This window comes from Homo sapiens, chromosome 12 (assembly GCF_000001405.40).
Source record: "Homo sapiens chromosome 12, GRCh38.p14 Primary Assembly".
NCBI lineage: Eukaryota > Metazoa > Chordata > Mammalia > Primates > Hominidae > Homo > Homo sapiens.
In genome coordinates, this window is record NC_000012.12 from 46,490,454 (window position 1) to 46,510,887 (window position 20,434).

At 36.3% G+C, this 20,434-nt stretch overlaps 2 long non-coding RNA genes across 7 annotated transcripts in view; one reads left to right on the top strand and one right to left on the bottom strand.

Moving 5' to 3' along the window:
* LOC124902923 (uncharacterized) overlaps positions 1-4,017 on the bottom strand; it is a 64,239-nt gene extending 60,222 nt beyond the window's left edge. For both annotated transcript variants that reach the window (XR_007063284.1, XR_007063283.1), the window contains exon 1: positions 3,819-4,017. This is a non-coding gene — a long non-coding RNA (uncharacterized LOC124902923). The remainder of the gene's footprint in view (positions 1-3,818) is intronic.
* SLC38A4-AS1 (SLC38A4 antisense RNA 1) overlaps positions 1-20,434 on the top strand; it is a 268,904-nt gene that overhangs the window by 106,778 nt on the left and 141,692 nt on the right. The gene's annotated exons all lie outside the window — the stretch shown is intronic.

Below are 20,434 nucleotides of genomic sequence, written 5' to 3' on the forward strand. Positions count from 1 at the left end.
GTCCCCAGGATATTTATTTGTAATATGAGTACAATAATTCCTGGGTCTAGCCTCTTTCACAAAGTTGTTACATTGATCAAATCAGAAGTGAGAGAAATAAAAAAAAAGGTAACATTGTTATCACAGCATTTTGAGATGCTGAGAATGTTATAGAAATATAGCATGCTCTTATACTTTTATTTCATTTTGAAAGAGGCAATACCCTTTTATCTTTATTAAGTGCCCTCAGAGATTAATGAGAGATGTTTAAATGAGTGTGAATATGTGAATTCACAGCCTTTCTCCACTGCAGAATGGTGAAACGATTCCAAGATGTTCTTCCTGGGTTTGAAGTCTTTGCCTGAACACAATTATGCAATGATTTGAAAGTCAGTTCCAAGATCTCTTGAACTGCTTATGAGACATTTTGTTTATTAAATAATTTTCTGAAATTGACTAGGTTTTAGTGACTCATGGATTCATGCAAACATATGCATGACATTTAGAATTATAGAACTAGAGGGGAAGAGATCAGCTAATGCACCCTGTGTTTTACAGTAAAGGAAATGGTGCCAAGAAGTCTAAATGACTTGCCCAGAGCTATATGAAGGTGTCCATGAGAAAACTGGGGCTAGAACCCAGACCTCCAATTCCCGGCTCGGAGTTCTTTCTTTTGAACAGATTTTCCGTGAATATTCTGATTACATATGCTATTTCCATGGTCAATGCTAAGCCCTTGGAAAAAAACAAAAATGACATTTTGCCCCCCAGTGATCTCAAGGTAAGATAAATATTTTATAATTGTAATGCATGGTGTCTTTAAAGAATGTACAATTCTCTGCAAAATTTATAACCCAGAAATGCTTTCAGGTACATTTAATCTTTACAATTCAGGTAAAGATTGTTATTTAATTAATTAATTAATTTTTTGAGACAGGGTCTCACTCTGTTGCCCAGGTTGGAGTGCAGTGGCATGATCATGGCTCACTGCAGACTTGACCTCTCGGGCCCAATTGATCCTCCCACTTCAACCTCCCAAGTAGCTGAGACTACAGGCACAAGCCACCACACCTGGCTAAGATTGTTATTTATGCTATATATGGAAACTACCAAGTAAGAGAGAGTGGCTTGGTCAAGGTTTCTAAAAATTGAAACAGACTTAAAAAAGATTGGGTTTTCAATTCCATTCTTGGAGTTTTTAAAAATGCAACATGAAAATTGATATTTAAGTATTTTTAAAAATGAGTATTAGTCATGGAGATAAGACTGTCCCTACTTCCCTCCTTTGTTTGGCTCTAAGCTGATGCTGGACTCTGCCCTAGTGTATCCTTAAAAGCTGATGTTCATGTCACGGCAACATTCCAATCCACAATGGATTGAGTTTTCCAGTTCATCAACAAAATCTCACTTACTTGAGAAAGGCTTGTCTGAAATCAGTAGTAGTGGTAGTAATAATAATAATAATGATAATAAACAATTGATATTTATCAAACACTGATTGTTTCCAGGTTCTGTTCTAGACACTTTACAGGTATTAACTGATTTGATCTTTCCGGCAAGCCTATGAATAGACACCATTATTATCTCAATTTTGCAGATGTTGAGACTGAGGCACAGAAAGCTTAAGTAACTTGCTCCACGTAACACAGTTAGCAAATGGCCGATAAGTTACATTTCGATTTTTGTTGTTCTTATTAAAAATGTTTACAATGATCATTTTTATATAATAACTCTAGTAGTTCAGTTATTTGTTTTGGGGCAAAGATTCTCCTTGAACCTCAGTTTTCAACTCTAAAACAATTGGGTTGAAGTGGTTGACCTTGAGGGTTTGCTCTAGTTCTACATGGTTACCAATTTATCACATCCTCTCACATCCTTCTTATGCTCTGTGGACCTAGGCTGTCCTGTCACACTCAGTTCCCTTCCTTCCCTGCCTTGCTCGATTTCCAGGGATAAACAAAAGTCACACATTTTTATCAGTTTTATTTGTATATAAACATAAGATGAGCTAGTCCTTCAAGACTTTTTAACTTGGGGAAAAACAAGGAAACTAAATAACCACTCCTGCTCTCCCTCTTTTCTCTCTCCCACTTCTTAAAATATTTGTTTTAGCAAACCCGTTTATCAAAGGTAATACAAAGTCCTCCACTAAGGAATATGAGGTCCAAAAATCCTACAGTTCTTTCCTTTATCCCAACATGTTTATACAGACAAAACCAGGTTAAAATCGACACAAGGTCAACTTGAAATGGGGAAAGAGGAAGGTGACGTCACAAAATAAACATGAAGTCTTGTGTACAAGCATCTGCAGAAGAGTTCAGCCTCACCACTTGGGTAATGCTGTTGGAATGTGGTCTGGGTTCACTGTATTTGAATGTAGGGCCGTTTAATATCAGCTAGTTCAGGACCACCCTTCTCACCCCCCATAAAGTGTGAGTCCCAGAAATTCTGCCCATATGTGAGTTTAATGGTAGGTTTGGGTACGGTTTGAAATGGAATCATCAGAAATTGTAACTTCCTTGACTCGGAATCAATGAGCTTTTCAAATAGTTACAGACATTGGAATTTGTAACTTTTCATATATAAAACTATCTTATGAGGTGCATATTTACCAAGCCTTGAAACAAACCCAAGTACTGAGATAAAAGTTCAAACTATATCGAGTGCATTGATGCTGAAAGGAACAGAAATAATTGTTTATATGTGTATTTGACATTCCACCCAGAAGGGGTTAAATCTCTGCTCTAGTTGATGTATTTTCTTCCTTATGAATTAAACACTAAAGTATGTCCATTTCATCACTTTCTTTACACACCTAACTCTCCCTTTATTGTGCCTTGTCTCCACTTGTCTGCAGAAAGATCTCTCCATATTTTGCTTCTGACGCCAAATAACCGTGATCACTTACGATGAAAGAGTATTGGTTAATAAGATTGTTGAGAAAGTTCTGTTTTGTTTATAAAGTCATTCCTATGTTTTTCATAATGTATCTTTTATCTTTGGACCAAGAGCATTGATCCCACATCTTTTTTTTGCTGAGTGTTTTCATTTGAGGTTGATTGTAACTATTTAAGGACATATGGTAACTACTTAAGGGCTTAATTATTCAATCATGGAGAGTTGGGTGGAACATGGGGACACAGAGGTTCGTTGGGAGATAGATGGAGGTTTCTCCTTACTACCTATGTGTCTCCCACAATCCTTTTACAGAGGGAGAGTGGTGAACTGTCTCCTGGAAAAGAGAAAGATTTATCCTTACATAATTTACCTATGTTTGTGCACTGAGCTGACATGTACCTCTGTATCAATGCTAACATCATTTCTCCCTCCCTTTTAGATAGGACTTTTATGAATCAGAGCGGGATTCTGTTAATTAGAAAGATGTGTGTGTGTGTTGAGCTTGGCACACCCTCTTTTCATTAGTGATAGAAGTGCCCGATAAGGGGCGGGGTGGGGGGGGGTCATGATGACCTTAACCTGGGTTCTAGTTCAATCCATAACCCAGAGGCAAAGGTAATGACGTGTGTATAATCACCACTTGAATTTTCTGCTCCACTGTATTTACATTAGAGGGAAACAAATCTTGTAATATGTACGTGCTTTCCATTAAGGATGCAGCACAAATATCAACAGTGTCCTTCTAAGTCAATATTTGCTAGGAAAAGCACAGGATGTTCTTGTTGTCATCATGGTACCAAGGCTTCACAAACTAATAAAAACATTGAAATTGTTACATATTCATACACAAGTACTATGAAGCATAACAGGAAAAAACAGGTCTACATTTTCATAAAATTAAATTCACACATGCTCTGATAGGCAAAAAGTTTTGTACTTACATAGATCATGGATGGAATTTCTGCTCTGTCTCTTGTGGGGTAAAGCAGCTTTAATATTTTATTGGAAAATAAAATTTCTTCTTTGTTGGATTCTCTTCAGATGAAACTGAATAGATGAATAATGTATATGTTTTATGACAATTAAAAAAAAGCCCTGTAATTTGTACAACTATGAGTGAGAGGAGTCAATTGACATTTGAAGCAAAAAAGATAGATAATGAGAGGATAAATGGATGGAAAATTCCACAGCTCAAAATCCCAATGGTTTCTTCAGGACAAGATTGTTACTTGAGAAGGCTCTGCTGAATTTTTGGCATTCCTGCATTATCTCACTTTGAAGATGGAATGTAAACTATGGTTTTCAGCCAGTACCACTGTTCTCTGAAGTAGATTCAATTTTATTTGCTGAAAGTTTTTGGTAACACCGATTTCTCTAAATTTAAGTAAATAGTTAATGTTTCAAAGGCCATTATTAGTCTCTCTTAGTGGAAAAGAGCAGTCTCATTTTTGGGAAGTCCATGGCAAATTTCCTTTCATGGGACTCTTACCATTAACCCAGAGACTCACTTTTATCTACAAAGGCTTTGTTGAAAATTTTGGCTACTTGTATATTCTACTGCAAATCCTTATGGGATATTGTTAAAAATTCATTTGCTATAGAAATCAGGAGGATTGCCAACAGGTATGCTCAGTGGAGGCTGGGGAAGAATCCGGTGCTGATGGTGAAGATGAGTTCCTTTGTCCATCATCCTGAGCAGAGCAGTTTCATGGATACATTTGGTGCCACTGATAACACACAAGACTTGCAAGTTTAAGTTACTTTTACTACTTTCTGCTGCAGTGTACGATTCGATAATTTTCTAAGTATCTTAAGCATTTTCAAATCAAAACAAAAATACCAAAGGAAACATCTAATAAAACTTCAATGTCTTCTTACTTGCATATTTATTAAAAATAAATAGAGGAAAGATTTTCATGAGTTATTATTTATTATTTTACTTTATTTTATTTAATTTTAATTTAATTTTATGTTTTTGAGATGGAGTTTCACTCTGTCGCCCAAGCTGGAATGCAGTGGTGTGATCTTGGCTCACTGCAGCCTCTGCCTCCTCTGCCTCCTGGGATCAAGCGATTCTCCTGCCTCAGCCTCCCCAGCAGCTGGGATTACAGACATGCACCACCATGCCTGGCAAATTTTTGTATTTTTAGTAGAGACGGGGTTTCACCATGTTGGCCATGCTGGTCTCGAACTCCTGACCTCAGGTAATTCACCTGCCTTGGCCTCGCAAAGTGCTGGGATTTACAGGCGTTTAATGGGTTTTTTAAAAAATAAAATATTCACTCATACATGCAGAAATAAAATTTTTCTTCTTGTGTTTGTATCAATAAATATCAGATACTGAAAGTTATCCTTAAACATTGGTTGTTAGTAAGATTATTTCAACTAACTAGGGATTTTGATATATGATGCAAAAAGGTCAGTTTTAAGGACACTTAAAAGATCCTTTAGCATCAGTAACATAAAAGTATAAACTGCATATATGGTAGAATAATACATTATTAGAGACTTTTATACTCCAGAATTTAGAAACATTTCTTATTGGCTTACTACTGTGATTAAATTATAAAATCAAGTTTGCATGTATATATATATATACATATATATATAATATATATATATACATATATATATATTATATATATATACATATATATATAATATATATATATACATATATATATATTATATATATATGCAATATAAAATATATAGTCATGTGCTGCTGGGTGCAGTGGCTCATGCCTGTAATCCCAGCACTTTGGGAGGCCAAGGCAGGTGAAATACCTGAGTTCAGGAGTTCAGGACTAGCCTGGCCAACATAGTGAAACCCCATCTCTACAAAAAATTAGCCAGGTGTGCTTGTGGGTGCCTGTAATCTCAGCTACTTGGGAGGCTGAGGCATGAGAATTGCTTGAACTAGGAGGCGGAGGTTGCAGTGAGCCAAGATTGCACCATTGCACTCCAGCCTGGGCAACAGAGCGAGACTGTCTCAAAAAAAACAAAAACAAATACAAAAACAAAACAAAACAAAATATACATATATATATATATATATAGAGAGAGAGAGAGAGAGAGAGAGAGAGTCGTGCTACATAATAATGTTTCAGTTAAAGTCAGTCTGCATATTATATGATGGTGGTCTTTTAGATTATAATGGAGCTAAAAAATTCCTGTGGCCTAGTGGTGGTAACATCATAATGTAATGCATTACTCATGTGTTTGTGGTGATGCTGGTATAAACAAACCTACTGTGCTACAGTTGTATAAAAGTATAGCAATGCGATTACATATAGTGCATAATACTTTATAATGATAATAAGCAACTATGTTACTGGATTATATATTTAGTAAACTATACTTTTTATTGTTATTTTAGGATGTACTCCTGCTTATTTAAAAAAAGTTAGCTGTAAAACAGTCTCAGGCAGGTCCTCAGGAGGTATTCCAGAAGAAGGCATTGTTAACATAGAAGGTGACAACTCCATGCGTGTTATTCCCCTGAAGACTCTCCAGGGGATAAGGTGTGGAGCTGGAAGACAGGGATATTGATGATCCTGTCCCTGTGTAGGCATGGGCTAATGTGTGTGTTTGTGCTTAGTTTTTAACAAAAAAGTTTAATAAGTTAAAAAATTTAAAATAGAAAAAAGCTTATAGAATGAGAATGTAAATAAAAAATATTTTTGTATAGGTATGTAATATGTTTGTGTTTTAAGCTAAGTGTTATTACAAGTCAAAAAGTTAAAACAATTAAAAAGTAAAAATGTTACAGTTAGCTAAAGTTAACTTATTATTGAAAAAGGAAAACTGTTGTTTAATAAATTTAGTGTAGCCTAGGTGTACAGTGTTTATGAAGTCTACAGTGGTGTGCAGTAATGTCCTAGGCCTTCATGTTCACTCACTGACTTACCCAGAGTAACTTCTAGTCCTGCAAGCGCCATTCATGGTAAATGCCCTATACAGGTGTACCATTTTTAATCTTTATTTTACTTATTTTATTTATTTATTTATTTATTTCTGAGACGGAGTCTGGCTGTGTCTCCCAAGCTGGAGTGCAGTGGCGCCATCTCAGCTCACTGCAAGCTCAGCCTCCCGGGTACATACCATTCTCCTGCCTCAGCCTCCCAAGTAGCTGGGACTACAGGCATGCGCCACCATGCCCGGCTAATTTTTTTTGTATTTTTAGTAGAGATGGGGTTTCACTGTGTTAGCCAGGATAGTCTCGATCTCCTGACCTTGTGATCCACCCGCCTTGGCCTCCCAAAATGCTGGGATTACAGGTGTGAGCTACTGCCCCCGGCTTCCATTTTTAATCTTTTAGATTTCTTTTACTATACTTTTTCTATGTTTATATCTGTTTAGATACACAAATCATTAGCATTGTGTTACAATTGCCTACAGTATTCAATACAGTAACATGCTGTACAGATTTAAAACCTAGAAGCAATAGGCCATACCATGTAGCATAGGTGTATAGTAGGCCATACCATCTATATTTGTGTAAATATGCTCTATGATGTTCTTACAATGACAAGATTGCCTAACAAAGCACTTATTACCATATATCCCTGTCATTAAGGGACACATGACAGTATATATTGTTTCTCAATCTAGAAAGGATTCTGAGAAAATGGTTGGTATTCAAAGCATGGCTGGCCACTGCTGGAAGAACCTGATGAACTGCATCATAGGCTTTTCACTTAGGACTAGGTTGTATGTTACGGATATATATATATAGAATTGCTCTATTGGCATGAAAGATCCTGTAGTTCCTTCAGTCTACTTTCTTCTTCTACAGTTTTGTTAGATCCAACAGCATGGTACCTAAGAAAATCATTAAAGTGGGACTTCAAGGTGTATTGTCTTCCTTTACCTTTGAGAAATTTGAACCAATAAGGAAAGTATAATACTGATAGTTTTCTATAACACTGCTGCTACGTTAGTTAAAGAGTTTCTTTTGGTGAGAAGTCACAGAAAGTGACCTTAAAAATAGGGAATTTATTAAAATGATCTGGAAGACTCTCATAGGATCTAAGAAAGAGTTGAATAGGTAGGTCTTGGGAACGTGAGATGCCATGGAAATGTACAGACCATGTCAAATGACTCAGCTCTAGGGGTGCTGGGTCTTTTAGCAGCAGATTCCCAATTCTTCTAGGAGAAAGTCTGATTGAGCCAATGTGGGTCACTTTGGATCAAAGAGCTATGGTGAGAGGGGCACTAACGATCATGTAGCACATACCATTGTGGGCTTGGCCCGAAGAGGAAGAAGGCATATAATTTACTATAGCTGGGCAGCCACCATGTTAATGAATTTAGAAATTATAGCTTCCAAGTTCTACATGAAATGTTTATACACATGCACACATACATAATAAAAAAACCTCATGGTTTCTTATACATTCAGGAGCTATAGTTAGCATGTTTGTAGGGAGAAATTATTGCAATATCAAGTAAGTAGTTTCAAGGAATATTATCTTCACTAGCATAGCCACGCCATTTCGTCAGAAGCTTACCATGAAGTCATTGGAATAGAAATGTAGGAAATGAGAAATAGCATATACTGTAACACATATTGAGTAGGTAAACACATATACAAGTCAAAATGCCCCGTGACAACAAAACCCCAATCTATATGTGTCCTTGGCTTCACCCATGGGGACTCAAGAGTACTTGTTAATTTATTCACTGAATTGATTTATCTTTCTTTCATTTTCATTTTATTTTATCATGGTAAGAACACTTAATATGAGAACTACCCTCTTAAAACATTTTTAAGTGTGTGCAATACATTACTGTTGACGATAAGTAAAATATTGTACAGCAGATTTCTAGAGCTTATTCATCATGCTTGACTGACACTTCATGCCCATTGATTAGTAACTCCCTATTTCCCACAACCCCCAGTCCTTGGCACCACAATTCTGCTCTCTGATTCTATGAATTTGACTATTTTTAGATACCTCATATAAATGGAATCATGCAGTGTTTGTTTTTCTGTGGCTGGCTTATTTCACTGAGCATAATATCTTTAAGGCTTACCCATGTTGTTTCACATTGTTGAATTTCCTTTATTTATAGATTGAATAGTTTTCCATTGTGTATATATACCACATTTTCTTTATCCATTCATCTGTCAATAAACATTTAGGCTGTTTCCACATCATGGGTATTGTGAATAGTGCTGCAGTGAACATAGGCGTGCTAATATATCTTTGAAATCCTAATTTCAATTCTTTTGGCAAAAATACCCAGCCAAAAGAAGTGAAATTAGGATCTCAAGGATATATTGGCCAGGCATGGTTGCTCACACCTGTAATCCCAGCACTTTGGGAGGCTGAGGTGGTCAGACCCCCTGAGCTCGGGAGTTCGAGACCAGCCTGACCAACATGGAGAAACTCCGTCTCTATTAAAAATACAAAATTAGCTGGGCATGGTGGCTCATTCCTGTAATCCCAGCTACTTGGGAGGCCGAGGCATGAGAACTGCTTGAACCCGGGAGGCGGAGGTTGTGGTGAGCCAAGATTGCACCATTGCACTCCAGCCTGGGCAACAAGAGCGAAACTCTGTCTCAAAAACAAACAAACAATATATTAGCACTCCTAAATTTCTCAAAGGTAAAATACCCAGAAGTGGGATTTCTGGATCATGTGGTAGCTCTATTTTTATTTTTTTGAGCAACTTCCATATGGTTTTCTACAGCAGCTGTACCACCTTGCGTTCCACCAGTGGTGTGCAAGAGTTTCAGTTTCTCCACGACCTCACCATTATTTGTAGTCTTGTTTTTTCATAATAACCACTCTAACAGGTGTGAGGTGATAGTCATTGTTCTTTTGATTTGCATTTCCCTGATGTTTAGTGACATTGAAAACTTTTTTTATACCTAATGGCCATTTTTAAGTCTTCTGTGGAGCAATGTCTATTCAAGTCCTCAGCCCATTTAAAAAATTGGGTTATTAGTTGGGGTTTTTGTTTGTTTGTTTTTGTTTTACTCTTGAATTTTGAGTTGTAGGAATTCCTTATGTATTTTGGATATTAACTACTTATCAGATATATGGTTTGCAAATAGCACTCTGTAGGTTGGTTGTTCTGTAGGTTGCCTTTTTTCCTCTGTTGATTGTTTCCTCAGATATGCAGAAGCTTTTTAGTTTGGTGTGCTGTTTATTTTTGTTTTTGTTGCCTGTAGTTTTGGTGTTATATCCATGAAATTATTGCCAAGACTAATGTCTAGAGACTTTTCCTCCTATGTTTTCTTCTGAGAGTTTTACAGTTTGGGGTTTTACCTTTAATGTATTTTGGGTTGATTTTTGTGTATGGCATATAATAGGAGTCTCATTTTCTTCTTTCGATTGTGGATATCCAGTTTTCCCACACCATTGAAGAGACTGTCTTTTCCCTATTGTGTATCTTGGCACTCTTGTTGAAGATCATTTCACTGTATATGCATATATTTATTTCTGGATTCCCTATTGTGTTCCATTGGTTTATATGTCTTTTTTTATTCCAGTACCATACTGTTTTGATTACTGTAGCATTGTAACATATTTTGAAGTCAAAAACTATGATGCCTCCAGCTTTGTTTTTCTTTCTCAAGAATGATTTAGCTGTTTATGGTCTTTTGTAGTTCCACATGAATAAAAAAAATTTTCTATTGCTGTAAAAATGCCATTGGGATTTTGATAGGGAGTGCATTGAATGTGTAGTTTGCCTTGGGTAGTATGAATATTTTAACAATATTAACTCTTCTAATCCATAAACATGGAGTGCTTTCCAGTTGTTTGTGTCTTGTTTAGTTTTCTTTCATCAATATTTTGTAGTTTTCAGTATAAGTTTTCCACCTTGTAGTTAAGTTTATCTTTATGTATTTTATTCTTTTTGACACTATTATGAGTGAAATTGTTTTCTTAAATTTCTTTTCAGATATTTGTTGTTAGTGTATCAGAATGCTATTAAGTTTTGTATGTTGACTACAACTTTACTGAATTTATTACTGTTAACTGTTTATTCTAACAATTTATTTTGTTGTTGGTATATAGGAATACTACTAAGTTTTGTATGTTAACTGCAACTTTACTGAATTTATTTATTATTATTAACTGCTTATTCTAACAGTTTTTTTTTTAAAATTGAGTCTTTAAAGTTTTCTCTATATAACATAATGTCATCTGCAAATAGGAATAATTTTACTTCTTCCTTTCCAGTTTGAATCTTTATGTTTATTTTTTCTTGTCTAATTTCTCTGGCTAGGACTTCTAGTGCTATGTTGAATAGAACTGGCAAGAGTGGGCATCCTTGCCATGTTTCTCATCTTAGAGGAAAAGCTTTCAGTTTTTCACCATTGAGTATAATGTGAGCTATGGACTTTTTATATATGACCTTTATAATGTTGAAGTAGATTCCTCCTATACCTAGTATGTTGACAGTTTTTTTCATGAAACAATGTCAAATTTTGTCACATGCCTTTCCTGCATCTATTAAAATGATGATGTGATTTTATTTTTTATTATGTCAATGTAGTATATTAAATTACTTGCTTTTTCGACATTAAGCCATCCTTACATCTCTGGGATAAGTCTCATATGGTCATGGTGTATAATCCCTTTAATGTGCCATTGAATTCAGTTTGCTAGTATTTTGTTGAGGCTTTTTTGCATCTATATTCATTGAGAATATTGGCCTGTAGGTTTTCTTTCTTGTGTTGTCTTTGTCTGGCTTTGGAATCAAGGTAATGCTAGCCTCATAAAATAAGTTTGGAAGTGTTCTCTCCTCTTTAATTTTTTGGAAGAGTTTGAGAAGGAGTGGCATTAATTCTTCTTTAAATGTTTGATAGAGTTTACCAGTGACTCTACAGGTATTGAGCTTGATTTTTGGGGAGGTTTTTGATTACTGATTCAATCTCCATACTAGTTATGTGTCGGTTTTGACTTTATATTTCCTTATGGTTTAGTATTGGTAGGTTATATGTTTCTAGGAATTTATCATTTCTTCTAGGTTATCCAGTTTGTTGGATATTGTTCATAGCAGTCTGTTAGGATCCTTTTTATTTCTGTGGCAAGAGTTGTAATGTTTCCTCTTTCCAGTTCTGATTTTATTTATTTGAGTGTTTTTTCTTAGTCTAGCTACAAGTTTGTCACTTTTATTTATCTTTTAAAAAACCAACTCTCAGTTTCATTGATTTTTTTCTATTGTTTTTATATTTTCTCTCTCATTTATTTCTGGGTAATAATCTGTTATTTCCTACCTTCTGCTAACTTTGGAACTAATTTATTGTTTTTTCCTAGTTCCTTGAGGTATAAAGTTAGGTTGTTTATTTGAGACATTTTGTCTTTTGTAATGTAGATGTTCATCACCATAAACTTCTCTCTTACTACTGCTTTTGCTATACCCTATAGGCAGTGGTATGTTGTGTTTTCATTTTTATTTGTATTGAGATATTTTCTAATTTCCTTTTGATTTCCTCGTAACTCAATTGTTGTTTATAAGTATGTTGTTTAGTTTCCATATATCTGTGAATTTTTCAGTTTTCCTTCTGCTACTGATTTCTCGTTTCATTCCATCGTGGTCAGAAAAGGTTGACCATAATGGTCAATCTTTGGTAAGATTTCAATCTTTTTAAATTTGTTGACTTATTTTGTGACCTAACATGTGACCTGCTCTGCAGAAAGAATCATGTGTACTTGAAAATAATGTGTATTATGCTGCTGTTGGATGGAATGTTCTGTACATGTCTGTTAGGTCCATTTGTTTTATAATGCGATTGAGGTCCTCTGTTTATTGATCTTCTGTGTGGATATTCTGTTCATTATTGAAAGTAGGGTACTGAATTCTACTATTATTGTATTGCTGTCTGTTTTTCCCTTCAGTTTTGTCAATATTTTATATATTTAAGTGCTCTTATATTGGTATTACAGCCTATGGACTGACCCTTTTCATCATATAATGTCCTTCTTTGTCTCTTTTGACAATTTTTGACTTCAAGTCTATTTTTCTGATATAAGTACAGCCACTCCTACTCTCTTTTGATTACCATATGCATGGAATACTTTTTTCTTGGCTTCAGTTTCAACTTATGTGTGTTTTTATATCTAAAGTGAGTTTCTTGTAGGCAGCACATAGTTGGGTCTTTAAAAAAAGTCCATTACTCACTGTTTGTCTTTTGATTGGGGGAATTTAATCAATTTACATTTAAAGTAATATTGATAGGAAAGGATTTACTATAGGCATTTACTAGTTGTTTTCTCTCAGTCTTGTAGTTCCCTTTTCTTTTTCTCTCTTGCTGTCTTTCTTTATGTTTTGTAAAGTTTTTGCATTAATATGTGCTATGATCTGAATGTTTGTTTCCCTCCAAAATTTATATGTTGAATCCTAATACCCAATTCAATAATATTAAAGTGTGGAGCCTTTGGGAGATGATTGGATAATGAGGGCTCCACCCTAATGAATGGATTAGTGCCTTTGTAAAAGAGGCCTAAGGGAGCTTATTCACCCCTTCTACTATGTGAGGGTGCAGTGAGCAAGCATCATCTTTGAAGCAGAGACTGACACATCACCAGACACTGAATCTGCTGATGCCTTGATCTCAGACTTTCTAGTCCGCAGAACTGTGAGCAATAAATTTCTGTTATTTGTAAATTGCCAAGTCTAAGGTATTTTGTTATAGCAGCCCAAATAAACTAAGATAATATGCTTGATTTTATTCTTTATTTTCTTTGTGTAATTTCTATAGGGACTTTATTGTGGTTACATAAAAAATCTTCTTTGTGGTTACATACATACTTTGGGGCTTACATAAAATATGGTTATAGCAGTCTATTTTAAGCTGATAACAACTTAAGTTCAATCACATACTCTACACTTTAACCCCTCATATATTATTCTTGTCACAATTTATGTGTATTCATATTGTATATCTTTTATCATGGTTTTAGTTATATTTATTTTTCATACTTTGTCTTTTAGCTTTTATGCTAGAATTAATGGGGTGATTTTCCACCCCATTACAGTAATGCAGTATTCTGTATTTGTCTACATATTTACCTTTACCAATGAGTTTTCTACTTTTTCTTATGCTATCATGTTACTGGTTAGTGTCCTTTTGTTTCAACTCTAAGAACTCTACCATTTCTTGTAAGGCAGGTCTACTGAAGATGAACTCTCTGAACTTTTGTTTGTCTGGGAAAGTCTTTATACCTACTTTTATTTTTTTCAATTTTTTATTGTGTTAAAATCCATGTAACATAAAATTTACCTTCTTAACCATTTTTAGTGTACATTCAGTGGTATTAAGTACACTCATATTGTTGTACATCTATCATCATCTATTCATTTCCAGAACACTTTTAATCTTGCAAAACTGAAACTCTATACCCATTAAACAATAACTCCCCATTCCCTTCACTCCCTAGCCCCTGGCAACCACCATTCTACTTTATGTCTCTATGATTTTGACTACTTTAAATACTCCATATAAATTGAAACCTACAATAGTTGTCTTTGTGACTGGTTTATTTCACTTAGCATAACGTTTTCAGGTTGATTTATTTTGTAGCATATGTCAGAATGTCTTTTCTTTTAAAAAATATTTTAATTAACAAGTAAAAATTATAAATATTTATGGTGTACAACACTATGTTTTGATATATGTATTCATTAGGGAATGGCTAAATCAAGCTATTGAACATATGCATTACCTCACATACTTATAATTTTTTTTGTGATGAGAACACTTTAATCTCTTAGCAATTTTCAAGTATACAATATATTGTTATTAACTGTAGTCTCTGTGATGTATGATAAATCTCTTGAACTTATTCCTGCTGTCTCACTGAAATTTTGTGTGTTTTGACTAACATCTTCCTAATTTTCTCCACCCCTCAGCCTCTGGAAACCACCATTTTACTCTCCGTTTCTATGAGTTTGACTTTCTTACACTCTACATATAAGTAATATCATGCAGTGTTTGTCTTTCTGTGACTGGCTTATTTCACTTAATGTAATGTCTTCCAGCTTCCTCCATTTTATTACAAATGATGTAATTTTCTTCTTTTTAAGGCTGAATAATATTCCATTGTGTATATACACCATATTTTCATTATCCATTTATCTACTGATGAACACTTAGGTAAATTTTATACCTTGGCTATTGTGAATAGTGCGGCAATGAACATGGGAATGCAGATACTCCTTTGACATACTGATTTTCTTTCCTTTGGACATGTACTCAGTAGTGGGATTGCTGAAACATGTGATCGCTCTGTTTTTAATTTTTTTAGGTCTCCATATTGTTTTCATAATGCCTGTATTAATTTGTTTCCACCAACCATGTAAAATGGTTCCAATTTTTCCACATCCTCACCAACACTTGTTTTATATATATGTGTGTATATACATATATATATATATATATATTTTTTTTTTTTTTGGATAATAGTCATTCTAGCAGGTGTGAGGTGACATTTTAATGTGGTTTAGTATGCACTTCCCAGATGATTAGTGACATGCCCTGGAAGTCACTTTATCCAGAAAGGATGGGGCTTGCAACAATGGAGGGAAGTCCAACAATAGCCACTACCTCCTTGTCTACGCTGTTGTGATCAGAAGCAGCAATCAGAAATCACAGCACAGATACCAGATATTTGGTACCATGACTCCCAAAAGCTTTGTGAAAGTTACTCCAGGATCATGTGCTGGCTACCTCCCACGGGGAGAGAGTATGGGTGGAGATGGGTAGCTGTTACTGTGTTAAGAGCTGAAATTGACTGACATTAACCATATTTATCATCCAAACCTTCTGCTGGAAGTTGCAAGCCTTCAATGAACTTTGGAGTTCCAAAATAATTACATTAGACAGATTAGTCCAGGGTAATTTTTGTGTAGATGGGGAAACAGATTACTATTCCTAGTGCTTCCTACTCTACCACCTTTCCAGAATCCTCCTACTCTGTGTCACTTTTATAGAAAAATTTTTTGAGTATAGTATTCTTCACTGACAGTTTTTTTTCAGCATATTGAATATATGATCCCACTCCCTTCTGACCTGAAAACTTTCTGCTTAAAAACCCACCGGTAGTCTTATAGAGTTCTCTTGTACGTGACAAGTCACTTTTCTCTTGCTGTTTTTAAAGTTCTCTTTGTCTTTGACTTTTAACAACTTGATTACAAATTTGTATGTATTTCTTTGGGTTTATCTTATTTGGTGTCTTTTGAATTTCTTAGATCTGAATGTCCATTTTCTTCCCAAGATTTGGTAAGTTTTCAGCCATTATTTCTTTGAACAATCTTTCTGGTCCTTTCTCTCTCCTCCTTCTAAAATATCCCTAATATGTATGTTGGCCCACTTGATGGTGATCCATAAGTCCCTTAAGTTTCTCCATTTTTTCTTTTAATTCTTATTGTTTCTTTGACTGAATTATTTCTAGTGACCTGTGCTTGGGTTCACTGATCCTTTCTGCTGCATGATCTAGTCTGCTGTTGAACCCCTCCAGTGAATATTTGGCTCATCTATTATGCATTTCTATTTCTATTTGGCACTTTAAAATATGTTTTATCTCTCTGTTGAAATCCTCACTTTTTAAATGCATGTTTTACTGACTCAGTCCACATCTTCATGAAGTTGTAACTCCAGTTCATTAGGGTTAGTCTTTGGAAATGTATCTTAATTCCCTTTTTAAAAATATCTTTGCCCAATTATTTAATTTCCTTGACTCCCTGTGTTGATATCCGAGGGTTATTAGACAAAACAGGCAGCTATCACAGTCTTCATGAACTGGCTTCATACAGGAAAATACACCCCCAACCCCCCATCAGCCCAGCCAGTGATTCTTATGGACATCTACTACCTCTTTACTTCCCCAGGGAGAAGCAGGAGCTATGGCTTTGTTCACTCTTTCTGTGCTGAGCTGGAGAGTGGAGTGGGGTGGTCAAACTATAGCATCTACCAACCCAAATTGGCATATTTGTTCTCTCCTGGGTAGTTAGACTGTACTGCACACATCAGAGCTTCAAGACTGGTGAAACAGATGCCAATAGTTTGAGCAGCCCTGGAGAAGTTGGAGCTCTGGTTGCACAGATCAGCTCTTTTCCTCCCTGGGGGAAGCTGAGGGCTGAAAGTTTTCATCTGCTCACTCTGTGCCAACTGGAGTTGGGGGAGAAGGAAATCAATGTTGTCTACCAACCCAAGCCACCACCTCCATTATCCCCTGGCCAGCTAGACTATACCAGACCCATTAGAGCACCAGGTCTAGCAAGAAAGAAGGCAAACCTCTGGGGACTCCCTTGGAAATGTTGGGGTGCTGAATGTGCAACCAGCTCCTTACCTCGACTGCATGAAGCTGGAAGCTACAGGGTTTCTTCCTGAATGTATGGCCCTGCACTGGGGGCAAGGGTCTCTGACAAGACAGTATCCTGAATCTGTCCACAGGCTTTGCTATGTCTGTTTTTATGCTGTTCCAGAGTGCAGGAGCTTTTTAATTAGTTTTTGATTTCTCACAAAGGGAATTTGTCCATAAATTGTTGCTGAATTTGTGTTTGTAGGTAGAAGGAGGGTCCAGGGCTTCCTACTCTGCCATCTTACTGATGTCATTCTCTTTTGATTCATCTTTCTTGATGTCTGATTCTGTGCCATCCTGTATGTTAGTCATCAGGAAATTAACAACAAACATGTCATGGTTCACCTTCCAAAGCATTTACAGTCAGTTCAGTGGGTTTGGGCTACAATATTGGGTAAGTCAAGCACCCTATGGGAGTAAATTTCAGAGACACCAACACAGATGTAGTCCTCTAGGTATCAGGGAGGATTTTTTTTGCAAGAGTAAGCAGGAAAAAAGGAAAGTGGAACTGGGAGAGAGCACAGATAAAAAAGACAAAGAATAAATATTTTGGCCAGCATGTGAAAAATTCCAGAGGCAATAGAATTTTTTTTTTCCACTGGGAGAACTACAATTGGAATAGTATGGATTATGGACAATAAGGTGGGGAGTGTCACTATGTGAAGCTGGAGAGATGAACAGGTCATATAATGAAAGCGTGGTGATTTATGTGAAGGACTTTATTTGAAGATAAAGGGGGTCCTATTAAAGTGCTTCAAATGGAGGATACATACTCAGATTTTTAAATTATAAAAATGACTTTGGAGACTGGACTAGAGCAGGTAAGACTAGAAGTGGAGACACTAATTGGGAGAATAGCAACAATCCAAAAGAGAGCAGTGGACTGAACCAAAGTAGTGCTAGTGGTGATTGAAAGAAGTGGATGAATACAAGAAGTCAGTAGGGCATTATGGGGTTATTTCATAGGAAATGAAGAGTACTGAATAAAGAATGAGGAAGAGGATGGAACCAGTGAACAATGCGGCTAGTCACCGAGAATAGAAAGATCAAGGTGGGGTAGAAACAGTGAGTTCAGTCTATGGCATGGTGAACTTTAAGCAGCCACATGACAGTCACATAGAGGTGTCCACCAGTCATTATAGGTCTGGTGATCAGGAGAAGGATCTGGGATAGAGATGTATATCTGGGAGTCAATGAGAGTAGACAAGAGTTCTCTTAGAGAAGCGTTAAAGAAAGCTATTATTTCTCTCAGTTTTATTGGGATGCGTAAGTGGTCATGTCATAAAGATACAAGGTTATCATAGTTTCTTTAGGGGAAAGATGTTGAGAGGTTCTGTTATCGGGACCTTTGAGAACAATCACTGGTGAAACTGAAGCAAACCTAAACTACGGAGGAAACCCTTCCTCCTCTTCCAACCCAAACCACCATTATCCCCTGGCCAGCTAGACTATACCAGATCCTGCAAGGCAAATTTCTGGTGATGCAAAGACAGAAAAGAGATTTCTTTTTTCTTTCCAGGTACTATGTGTGCTCAAATGAGTGATTAAGAGTAAAAAAAATCCCTACTGGTACTCTTTCCTTCCACACGTGTAAACATTTGATTTATTATCTGGACACACTCTGATTTAAAGGCTAGAGCAGACATAGCTGGAAGGCTGATAAAGTGGCAGATACTGGCTTAGTGTCCTGTGCTACCTAATGAAATCACTGATGTCAGAGATTACATTTTATATTCATCTCTACACTCAGTTCCTTGACCAGAGCATGACAAAAGGCAGGTGCTCAGGAAGTATTCACTGATTATATTGAGGTTTATTGTCAGAAACCCCTCATATTTTAGCAATTCCTTCCTATTTCTTAGAATGGAATGGAGATATCCAGTAGGGCAAAGTCCAGATCTTAAAGCTCATACTTTTGTGAGGGTGAAGTATTTGGAAGTTTTCTGGCATTTGTGGTCCCAGAATTGCGGAAGAGACCTCTAAATTTTTTTTCAAAATATTTAAGGTTTGGAGGTACATATGAAGGTTTGCTATGTGAAAGGAAAATAGATCTTTGGGCCCCCACATCACTAAGCTAAAGGGAAAAGTCAAGCTGGGAACTGCTTAGGGCCAACCTGCCCCCCATTCTATTCAAAGTCACCCCTCTGCTCACTGAGATAAATGCATATCTTATTGCCTCCTTTGGACAGGCTAATCAGAAACTCAAAAGAATGCAACCATTTGTCTCTTAGCTACCTATGACCTAGCCTCCTCCCTGATTTGAGTTTTCCTGCCTTTGAGTTGTCCCATCTTTCCAGATCGAATCAATGTCCATCTTGAATATGTTGATTGTTGTCTCATGTCTCCCTAGAATGTGTAAAACCAAACTGTGCTCTGACCATCTTGGGCGTATGGTGTCAGGACCTCCTGAGGCTGTGTCACAGGTGTGTGGCCTCAACCTTGGCAAAATAAACTTTTTAAAATTAAATGAGACCTGTCTCAGGTTTTTGGGGTTCACAGTTACATAGATAAACACATGTCACAGGGGTTTGTTTGTTGTTGTTATGTCACTCAGGTATTATATTATGCTTAGCACCTAATAGTTCTCTTTTCTGCTCTTCTCCCTCCTCAAGTAGACCCCAGTATTTGTTGTTTCCTTCTTTGTGTTCACAAGTTCTTATCATTTAGCTCCTACTTATAAGTGAGAACATGCAGTATTTGGTTTTCTCTTGCTGCATTAGTTTGCTAAGGATGATAGCTTCCAGCTCCATCCATGTTCCCTCAAAGGACATAATCTCATTCTTTTTTATGGCTGCATAATATTCCATGGTGTATATCTACCACATTTTCTTTATCCAATTTGTCATTGATGAGCATTTAGGTTGATTCCATGTCTTTGCTCTTGTGAACAGTGCAGCAATGAACATTTGCATGCATGTGTCTTTATGGTGGAATGCTTTATATTCCTCAGGGTATATACCCTGTAATGGGACTGCTGGGTTAAATGGTAGTTCTGCTTTTAGCTCTTTGAGGAATCACCATACTGCTTTCCACAATGGTTGAACTAATTTACACTCCCATCAACAGTGTGTAAAGGTTCCCTTTTCTCCACAACCTCACCAGCATCTGTTATGTTTTGACTTTTTAACAATAGCCGTTCTGACTGGTGTGAGATGGTAGTTCATTGTGGTTTTTATGTGCATTTCTCTAATGATGAGTGATATTGAGCTTTTTTTCATATGTTTGTTGTTTGC